This window comes from Homo sapiens, chromosome 14, assembly GCF_000001405.40.
Source record: "Homo sapiens chromosome 14, GRCh38.p14 Primary Assembly".
Taxonomy (NCBI): domain Eukaryota; kingdom Metazoa; phylum Chordata; class Mammalia; order Primates; family Hominidae; genus Homo; species Homo sapiens.
In genome coordinates this window covers 27639760-27651850 of record NC_000014.9, presented here as the reverse complement: position 1 = coordinate 27651850, position 12091 = coordinate 27639760, and the positions used below count along the sequence as shown (strand labels likewise).

General features: G+C 32.5%; 1 long non-coding RNA gene across 2 annotated transcripts in view; it reads left to right on the top strand.

Moving 5' to 3' along the window:
• MIR3171HG (MIR3171 host gene) overlaps nt 1–12091 on the top strand; it is a 351396-nt gene that overhangs the window by 21371 nt on the left and 317934 nt on the right. The window lies entirely within an intron of this gene.

The following is a 12091-nucleotide window of genomic DNA, read 5'->3' as shown; positions in this document are numbered from 1 at the left end:
ACACTATTTCTCTTCCTCTTTCATGTAAAAACTCACTTGTATTTTGATCTTGTCATTTCTAGATTAGCTGTATTCAATTTCTAATTGTGTCTATCTCATATAATAATCACAATCACTCACTTTATTTACTAAAAAGCTTTGTATCTATCTTAAGACTTATCGTCAAGGGACAGTTGCATCACATGAATATAATGACAATCTTTTTTTCTTCCTTCTATTTTTCTTCCTTCTGTCTCCTCCTTCTGTCTTCCTTCTCCTTACTGCACTGTGAATACAATGTTAGTTGAAGTGGTGATAACAAGCATCTTTTTCTCATTCCTAATCACAGGAGAAACATCCAATATTTCCAAATTAAGTATGATTTTTTGTAGAGATTTCTAGGTGCTGTTTATTGAATAAGAAAGTTTTATTTTATTTCTGATTAGTAGCTTCTACAATGAATAGACATATAACTTTGAAAATTACTGTCTTTTCCTGTATTTGAGTACATAAAACTTTCCTTTCTTATACTTTTAATATGATAAATTGCAAACATTTAATTTCTATTGTTAAACCAATTCTAAAATCCTAGATTAAGTGTTTCTGGTCTTGATTTTCATGTGTTATTGGATTTGACTTACTAATATTTTGTTTGGGATTTTATTTATCTGTGTTTTTGATAGAAGTCAACTTAGAATTTATCTGTTTCGCTGACTGTATCCTAGTCCGGTTTGTTGTTAAGATAATGATGACCCGATTTTTTTTAAAGATGAGATTTATTTCTTATGTTATTGTTATTCTAAGAATTTTGTTTGAATACTTTTACTTCTTCTTTAACTATTTGGAAGAAATTGCTGATAAAGTCAACCTGGGCCAATAGATTACTTTTTTGAAATATTTAAAAATATGAATTCAATTTCTTTTATAAATACAGAACTGCTTAACTATACTATTTGTGTCAACTTTGAAAACTGTACTTTCTAGGAATTTGCTTTTATCTTCCAAAATATATGGGCAGTAAATTGCTCAATGTCAAGTCCAGTTCCTGGTGATAAACCTATGAGTGATCTTTCAGACCTCACCATAGATAATTTCAGAAGTTTTAAATGAAAGGCAGGTAAAGCTAGGAAAGCTGCCCTTCCCACACCACAACTAGTGCAGCTAGTGCACTGCAACCTCTAAAGGAAGCTACAGTCAAGATATCAGCACCCTGGCCAATCATAGTATTTCACATATTTACCTTACTGGTCTGGTGGTGCTCTGATACTTAGGGACCTTTATCTGAGGCCTTGGGCAGAGGTCTTTCTCGGGCTCTTCTGAACAGGCCTCCTGATAGTAGGAGGAGAGGAAAACATTAAAGACATTTTTTCTCACTGATACAATCTCCAGTATTTTTTTTACTCCTATTGCCCCCTGCACTCTAACATCCCTGCCATAGTCCATAATAGTGCTAGAGACTTTTCCTTGAAGATCTCCTTGCAGTGGGACAAACGCCAAATCTGCGCTCATCCACCCTACCCTGGAATATGCATCATTTCATGTGGGAAGATGGAAATGGGGAAGTTGGAGCTTTCGCTGGATTTAGGGTGTTGCTTATACCACCACAATAAGTGATAAAGGGCTTAACCCATTCATTTTTGGCTTATTGCTTTGTAGTGGTGGTGTGTTTTTTTTTTTTTTGTATTTTTTGTTTATTTTTTAACCTGTACATTTATTTTTTATATTTTTATATTTTTTAAATTTTACTTTAAGTTCTGAGATACATGTGCAGAATGTGCAGTTTTGGTACATAGGGATACATATTCCATGCTGGTTTGCTGCACCTGTGAACCTGTCATCTAGGTGGTAAGCCCCTCATGCATTAGGTATTTGTCCTAGTGCTCTCCCCCCACACCTTGCTCCTCATCCCTGAGAGGCCCCAGTGTGTGATGTTCCCCTCCCTGTGTCCATGTGTTCTCAAGTTCAACTCCCACTTATGAGTGAGAACGTGCAGTGTTTGGTTTTCTGTTCCTGTGTTAGTTTGCTGAGAATGATGGCTTCCCGTTTCATCCATGTCCCTGCAAAGGACATGAACTCATCCTTTTTTGTGGCTGCATAGTATTCCATGGTATATATGTGCCATATTTTCTTTATCCAGTCTGTCATTGATGGGCATTTTGGTTGATTCCAACTCTTAGCTATTGTGAATAGCGCTGCAAGAAACATACGTGTGCATTTGTCTTTAAGTAGAATGATTTATATTCCTTTGGGTATATATCCAGTAATAGGATTTGTGGGTCAAATGGCATTACTGGTTCTAGATCCTTGAGGAATTGCCACACTGTCTTCCACAATGGTTGACCTAATTCACACTCCCACCAACAGTGTAAAAGCATTCCTATTTCTCCACAGTCTCACCAGCATCTGTTGTTTCCTGACTTTTTAATAATTGCCATTCTAACTGGCGTGAGACAGTATCTCATTGTGGTTTGATTTGCATTTGTCTAATGACCAGTAATGATGAGCTTTTTTTCATATGTTTGTTGACGGCATAAATGTCTTCTTTTGAGAAGTGTCTGTTCATATCCTTTGCTGACTTTTTGATGGGGTTGTTTGTTTTTTCTTGTAAATTTGTTTAAGTTCCTTGTAGATTCTGGGTATTAGACCTTTGTCAGATGGGTAGATTGCAAAAATTTTCTCCCATGGTGTAGGTTGCCTATTCACTCTGATGATAGTTTCTTTTGCTGTGCAGAAGCTCTTTTGTTTGATTAGGTCCCATTTGTCAACTTTGGCCTTTGGTACTGGCACCAAAACAGATATATAGACCAATGGAACAGAACAGAGGCCTCAGAAATAACACCATACATCTATAACCATCTGATCTTCGACAAGCCTGAAAAAAAACAATCAATAGGGAGAGAATTCCCTATTTAATAAATGGTGCTGGGAAAACTGGCTAGCCATATGCAGAAAACAGAACCTGGACCCTTCCTTACACCTTAATACAAAAATTAACTCAAGATGGATTAAAGACTTAAATGTAAACCCCAAACTATAAAAACCCTAGAAGAAAACCTAGGCAATACCATTCAGGATATAGGCATGGGCAAAGACTTCATGACTAAAACATCAAAAGCAATTGCAAAATAAGCTGTACATTTATTCTTTAAATTTTATTTGTATAAATTTAGGGGGTACATGTGTCCTTTAGGCTTACTGCTGTAATGAGCTACTTCAGCCACCTGAGTTACAGCTTACTCTGACTCTCTCAGCTCAGCTGAACTCATGACAAATATGTTAATGGCATGTAATTACCGTTATATAACATATAGTCTATAATTATCATTATATATCATATAATCTATTGTATTGTATAACAAATAAATAGATTAATAATAGTATTATTTGTTTAACATCTCTAGAAGCTACAATGATGCTTGTTTTTTTTGCATTAACGAAGTCCTCCTTTGAATCTTCTCTCTCCCACTTTCTCTTTCTAGATAAGTCTTTCTAGAGATTGCATTAATTTTTCAAATTTCAACTTTTGTATCTAATTTCTCTTTTACACATTTGTTTTATTCACTTTTTTGATAATGATTTGCTTGACAGTTTTATCAATTTCTGTTCTAATTCCGTTACTCTGTTCTGCCTGTTTCCTCTAGATGCAATCTTAACTCCTAAAGATGAATACATAATTGATTTTCAGCAATTTTTTTCTTGATACACATAGGAAAAGCTATAAATTTATCTTCTGAATGCCTTTATCTGCATTACGTCTTTTTATTATGTTTTATTTTTATTATTACTCAGCTCAATTTTTCTGATTTGTATTTTTTTTATGTTGATCCATGGGTTATGTCAAATGTTACTACTTACATCTCAAAAATTTGGAGGATTTTTTTTATTTTTTGGTTTCCTTTTGTATTCTAGTTTAAGTTCATCGTAGTCAAAGAATTGCCTTTATGATTTAAAATTTAAAAATCTTGTTGAAGCTTTTTTATGGCCCAATATATGGTCAACTCTGCTAAATGTTTGACGTGTAGACTAGAAAAAAATGTGGATTCTGCAGTGTCTTACATATATCAACAGTTTAATTTTTAACTGTGTTCTGATTATTTTTAAGTTTTGTGTCATTTATAGCCTACTTGTTCCTACAAGTAGGAGGAGGCATCTCATTATGGATTTTTTTTTATTATACTTTAAGTTTTAGGGTACATGTGCACATTGTGCAGGTTAGTTACATATGTATACATGTGCCATGCTGGTGCGCTGCACCCACTAACTCGTCATCTAGCATTAGGTATATCTCCCAATGCTATCCACCCCCCCACCCCACCACAGTCCCCAGAGTGTGATATTCCCCTTCCTGTGTCCATGTGATCTCATTGTTCAATTCCCACCTATGACATTATGGATTTTATTTGCATTTACCTAATGTCTATGACGTTGATCATGTATGTGTTTTTTGTCCATTTGCATATCTTCCTTAGAAAATGTCTTTCATTTCCTATGTTCATTTTTAGATTGACTTTTTGGTTGTTGCTGTTGAATTGTAAGAGATTTTTAAATATATATTATAGATACTAGACCCTTATCAGAAATATAATTCATAATTTTTTCCATTCTATTATTGATTAATTGACTGGTTACCTCAGGATATTAACATTTTATTCTATTATTTTTTAATAACAGTGCCTGGAAAATAGTAGTCACTCAATAAATGTTTGTTTAATTGATGTAATTAATTATATGGTGAAACCTTAGTAATCTTTTCACATGCATTATGACATGTGTGTTTTACTCTGCCCATTATCAGATATTTAGCCTTTCAAAATATATTTTGAGTTATGTATTTTAAATATTTAAATACTTAATTTAAATATTTTAAAAGAGACTTTGAGTCAGTAAAATCCGTTGTTTGAGAATAATGACTTAAATTTCTACAAATCATAGTATGCTTAGGTACCATTTCACTTATAAACATCACCTACTAGGGAAAAATAATTTTTAAAATATAAAATTTTCCTGAGTTTCTGATCACACAGCTATGAGCTAAAGAAAGCTATTGTATTTGTCTTTAAATATAGTTGCTTTATTATTTCTTAAGTATCCTGTCATATTTCAATAATCATCTGCTAAAAAAATTAAACAAAATGAAGGAATCAAAACAAGAAAGAAAATGAGACATTTTTCATAGATTGTACAGCTTAGATATTTCATTAATTGACTGAATTGAAAAGTTGGAATAGGTTAGATAGGCATTATCTCATTAATTTCTATTGTTATCTTTCATATATTTATAGAACAATAAATGCACTTATTTTTTCTATGTATTTCCTTTCAAACATCCAAGATAATATGTAAATCAATTAAGTCAGTAATAATTGGACTCGTATTTCTTAAAAAATGACAGATTGAAAATATGAACATTGATTTTTATAGCTATAAAAAGTGTAAAATACATAGTATAATCATATCCTTTGAATTTTAGCTTTAGAGATAATTATTTATTTAGCTTTATTTCTTGGTTTTTGTTTGCTTTTGATAAGAGGAATGAAGTATGAGAGCTTAAGAGACTTGTCCAAATTGACCCAATTAGAAAATAAACCCACGAAATAGAAAAGCATTTCCATGAATTTTGTCTTTTAAAGTGTATCTGAGAAACCACTAAACCAGCAATTCTAAGCCCAATAAGATAAATATGCCATGCAAGAAAATTATGTTATTCTCATGTACCGAAATAAACTAATTATTCAGTGAAAATAAAATAGTCAAGAGTTTATAATGAAGAACAGAAAAAAGAATCAAGTTGGTATTCAAATGAATGGAATACCATAGAATGTGGTATATTGAAGGAATATATAGAAGGAACAATGTTAAATCACTTAGGTATTAGAAATATCTAATGACAAGGTGGTTTTAATTTATGGCTAATATTTCATGAGATAACTTTTTCAAGGTTCCGACAACGTATTTATAAAGACTCAGAAATAAATAAATGGTCAGACAAATTTTTAAAAGACAGTTCACAAATCTACTTCTTGCCAATATCTTAAAGAGATTTTGATAATTTGGCCAAGCCTAATTTATTATATTTACTTTATTTTTGTAAAAGCTATCAATATTCTTTTGAAGGGCAGAAATTCCAGTAAGCAACAATGAATGGTGAATAACTCCAACATACAAATGCCTTGCATTAATACAATTTATCTTTGATGTCAAATAATATACTGATACATGCTGTGTTAAAAACATGGAAAACTTTGTTGGCAGTGTATCATGTGCATTCTAATTCTACATATACCCCTCTTATTTCACTTGTCAGACAAGTATCAATAAAATTATGAGAAGATGATTTTCAAATTCCCAGTGCTAGTGAATAGCCATATCGTGAAACTCTGATAGTATCTTTGATTCCTTCTCTCCTTCATCCCTTGCACACACACAAAGTTGGCAAATACTAACAATTCTATATTCTAAATAGTTTCAACATCTCTTCTGTCTGGCCCTGCATCAATTTTTATGAAAATTATGCTCACCTCCCAATGATCACCTTTCTCCAGTACTGTCAATTTGAACAGGATAATTTACATAAAACATTAATTTAATTATATCACTCCCTTACCTAACCTATTATTAAAAGGAGTTCTATTTATTTTCTTTGAGCTGTTTTACCATATATCTTGTGATTTGACCTACTTGCTATATCTTCCCTCCTATATCTATTTATTATCTTTGAGTTGAGTTGAGTTCTATTTATTATCTTTGAGTCATCTTACCATATATTTTATGATTTGACCTACTTGCTGTATCTTTTTTTACTATGAATTTTGTATTCCATACTCCTCATAGGTCATTAAATAATTTATTCAAAATTATTTAAGGATAACTTATTTATTATTTATTGACTTCTATAACTTCATTAACTAAAGTTATTTAATGACTTCTCATAGGTCGTTAGATCATTTATTCAAAATTATTTAAGGAACAACTACTTTGCACATGGCACCATGCAGGAACTGGAAAGAAACTACGAGACAAATATTTAAATGAGAATATTTGGATATTTATATACAGGCATATCTCATTTTGTTGTACTTTGCAAATAGCATTTTTTAAATTGAAAATTGTGGCAACCCTACATTAAGCAAGACTGTTAGCATCATTTTACCAACAGCATGTGCTCACTTTGAGTCTCCTAGAAACATTTTATTAATTGTTATAATATTCCAAACTTTTTTATTAGTATATATCTGGCAGAGTGCTCTTGATTACTTCTCTTTGTTATTAATATTGTAATTGTTTTAGGGCACCATGAAACATGTCTACACGATATGACAAACTTAATAAATGTTTTGTCTGCTCTGATTGCTCCACGATCAGCCTTTTTTTTTTTTTCTGCCTTTCTCCATTTCCTCATGCATCTGTATTTCCAGAGACACAGCAATATTGAAATTCAGGCAATTTAATTATTCTAGAATGGCATCTAAGGGTTCAAGTGAAAGAAAGAGTTGCATGTCTCAGTTTAAATCAAAAGCTAGAAATGATTGAGCTTAGTGAGGAAGGCATGTTGAAAGATGAGATATGCCCAAAGCTAGGCCACTTGTTCCAAACATTTAATTAAGTTGTGAATGCAAGGAAATAGCTCATGAAGGAAATTAAATGTGATATTCTAGTTAACACATAAGTGATAAGAAAGTGAAACATCCTTGTTGCTGTTATTGGGAAAGTTTTAGTGGTCTGGATAGAGGATCAATCAGTCACAACATTCCCTTAAGCCAATGCCTAATCTAGAGAAAAGCCTTAAGTATAACTTTATGAAGGCTGAGAGAGGTGAAGTAGCTGCAGAAGAAAAATTGCAGGTTAGCAGAGGTACATTCATGAGGCTTAATCAAAGAAGTGATCTCCATAACATAAAGGTGCAAGGTGACATAGCAAGTGCTGATGTAAAGCTGCAGGAAGTTATTCACAGTATCTTACTAATGTCATGATGACAATGGCTATACTAAACAACAGATGTTCCATGTAGATAAAACATTCTTATATTGGAAGAAACTGCCATCTAGAACTTTCATAGCTAGGGAGTAGAAGTCAATGCCTGGCTTCAAAGATTCAAAGGACAGGCTGAATCTCTGGTTAGGGAATAATGCAGTTTTATTGAATTTAAAGCCAATGCTCATTAACCGTTCTGAAGTTCCTAAGGCCCTTAAGAATTACAGTAAATCTTCTCTACCTATTCTCCATAAATGAAACAACAAGCCTGTATGATAGTACATCTGTTTGCAACATGGTTTACTGAATATTTTATGCCCTTTGTTGAGACCTACTGCTCAGGAAAAAAAAAAGATTTCTTTAAAAATATTACTGCTCATTGATATGACCATTAGTGCACCTGGTCATCCAAGAGCTCTGATGTAGATGTACAGATTAATGTTGTTTTCATGTGTGCTAACAGAACACTCATCTGCAGTTCATGGATCAGGGAGTAATTTTGAACTTCAAGTCTTATAACTGTAGCCATGGATAAAGGAGTAATTTCAAGTCTTGTTTTATTTAAGAAATACATCCTGCAAGGCTATAGTTGCCATAGATACTAACTTCTCCGATAGATCTGGGAAAAGAAATTGAAATCCTTCTGAAAAGAATTAATCATTTTTAGATGTCATTGAGAGCATTCATGATTAATTGGTAGAGGACAGGATATTAACATAAATGGGAGTTTAGAAGAAGTTGACTCCAACCTTCATGGATAATGTTGAGGGGTTCAAGACTTTAGCAGAGAAAGTAACTGCAAATGTGGTAGAAATAACAAGAGAACTATAATTAAATGGCATCTTAAGATATGAATAAATTGCTACAATCTTATGAAATTTAAATGGATAAGGAGTTATTTTGAATGAGCAAAAAAAAGTGGTATCTTGAAATGGAATCTATTCCTAGTGAAGATGTTATAAACATTGTTGAAATGACAGAAAAGGGTTTAGAACATGCCATAAACTTAGTTAATAAAGGTGTAGCAGGGTTTGAGAAGATTGACTCCAATTTTGAAAGTTCTACTGTGGATGAAAATGTGACCAAACAGCATCATAAGCTACAGAAAAATCTCTCATAAAAAAAGAAGCAATCAATGCAGCAAACTGCATTGTTGTTTAAAGAAATTGCCACAGCCACCCAAAATTTAGCAATCATCACCCTGATCAGTCAGCAGTCATGAACAAGGCAAGATCCACCACCAGCAAAAAAGATTATGACTCATTGAAGGCTCTGATGATTAGTAGCATTTTTTAGCAATAAAGTAGTTTTAAATTATATACATTTTTAAGATAAAATGTTATTGCACACTTAATAGACTACATTATAGGGTAAATATAACATTTATTGCACTGAGAAACCAAAAATACTGTGTGACTCACTTCATTGCAATATTTACTTTACTTCAGTGGTCTGGGAGCAAACCCATAATATGCCTGCGATATGGCTGTATTAATATTCCATATGGACAAAAGGGAAAATATAGTAACCCTTAGCCCTATTATAAAATATGCTCACTATGGTATCATAGTTTTAATTTCAGAAAATGATAACAGAAATACTAAAATGACATTAACCACAAAAACAAATGCCCACATTATATATAAGTATATACATATATGTGTATATGATTTCTAAAATTTTGTGACAATAATAGACATATTTTTATTACCCAGAAAAAGATTGTGAAATGTTTTATCACAAATATATTATTTTACCAAACTTTTAAATAATTAAATATTATATAAGGTATGTGGCCTCAACTTGGAGCAGAAAACACAGGAACAACATAAAAACGAATAAAAAAGTGGTGTTGACTTACATCAGAAATAATTTCAAGATAGTTTAACAATTTTTATTGAAGAATTAAAATTTATGACTCTGCAACAGAAACCAGAATGAACGAAGCAAAATAAATTTAATAATGATCCTATTGGAAAAGGACCAATGGTAAAGTAAATACAAGTTTCTTTGTTCCTAGGTAAATAAATGGAAAGGTGAAATAGATTTTAGTGCTTTATTTTTATTTTTTTTTAGGTCTCCCTAAAAGGTCTCCCTCTGTCACCCAGGCTGGAGTGTTGTAGTGTGATTATAGCTCTTAGAGCCTCAAACTTCTGGGCTCAAGTGATCCTCCTGCATCAGCCCCTCAAGTAACTAGGAATACTACTTGCCTGCATGTAGTATTGACACTATGTGCATGACACTATGTAAGGCTAATTTTTTTAAATTATTTTATTGTAGAGACAAGGTCTTGCTATGTTGCCCAGGCTGGTATTGAACTCCTGGCCTCAAGCCATTCTCCCTCCTTGGCCTCTCAAAGTGCTGGGATTACAGCATGAGTTTCCACACCTGGTCTTTGTTTTTGAAAGGATAAAAATAATGTAGAAATATTATGTAATGTATGATTTATAGAATATAAACCATGTTATATAAAAATTATGGTAATAGGCTCTGAAATATACTAGAATAATAAGGAATGAGAGAAAAACATGAAGAAAATAGTACGAAATTCTTTGCGAAAAATCACATTTTTGCATATGCTGTTTAGGAGTAATTCATTTTTTAAAAAAGAGATAATAAAATAAGTGGAAAACATACCAGAAACCTTAAAATGTGCACAGTAAAAGGAAGAATACAGTAAGAAAGCATTAGCAGACTAACATAAGAACAGAAAACCAAACACCACATGTTCTCACCCATAAGTGGGAGTTGAACAATGAGAACACATGGACACAGGGAGGGGAACATCACACACCGAGGCCTGTCAGGGGTGGGGGGCTATGGAAGGGATAGCATTAGGAGAAATACCTAATGTAGGTGATGGGTTGATGGGTGCAGCAAACCACCATGGCACGTATATACCTATGTAACAAAACTGCACATTCTGCACATGTACCCCAGAACTTAAAGTATAATAAATAAATAAATAAGATAATTAAAACAAAACAGCCTCATAACAATAAATGTAAATGGTTTAAGTTATTTCAAAAGTAAGTGACACTCAAAATTTTTGTGTGTGAAATGTTAAATAACTGTATGCTATGAAGATGAGGAAAATCTAAACTAAGCACATAAAATGCCTTATTGTCATCTACATCTAGATTTTCCAGATCAATATTCTTTGGTCCTTTGTAAGATACAGTTTCCCTTTTTCATGTTAAAAACAAAGCTATTGGTAGAATAATCAGTAAACTATCTTTTTAGAAAATAAACCTAAATTTCATATAGTCATCAAATTCAGCAATAATTTTGTATTAATACAATGAGGCCATTATTATTTTTCCTATTAATTATTTATGGTACCACTCTTAAACATTTTTGAAAATTGTTGAAAAATAAAATCAGCACAGCCAACCAAAAGTGCAGTATGAAATGTTTTTTAGATTGTTCTCTAAGACAATTTTGAGTAAATTAAACTAAATTGAAATAGTGAGGAGAAAAATCACATAATGAAAATTCAAATTTCCCATATTTATTCTTACTGGATGCAAACATATAATTATAGTATTGAAATCAATAAAAGAAAATATAGCAATAATGTCAACTTGGTATAATACAATAATAAAGTTATAATATCTGATATAAAAAGTTAGCACCTCATGGTGATATCCGCAGAGACATTAGAAAGCATACATTAAAATTATATTTTCTTGGGTATCAAATGCTTGAGGTCCCAGAATATGCCAATGTTCTGCCAATATCTGCAACCCAAAGATCTATTACTTGCTTGGAAGAGCATCTCATCTTTCTGCAGATCTCACTGTCACCCAGGCTGTAGTGCAGAGGCAAGAATTTGGCTCACTGGAGCCTCAACCCATGTGGGTGCAAGTGATCTTCTCGTCTCCACTCAGCCTTCTGAGTAGCTGGGACCACAGGCACATGCCACCACATCCAACGAATTTTTTTTTGTATCTTTTGTAAAGATGGGTTTTATTTTGTCTAAGCTGAGAGAATTGCCTTTTTAAAAATGATAAATATTTTCATATAGGTGGATTGGAGCAAAATTCGCCCCTAGTTATTTAAAAGATTTACTCATATCAACTAGATTATAAGAATAAATTAAACGAATGTACCTCTCTTAAGAAAGGTAAAGTATATGGAC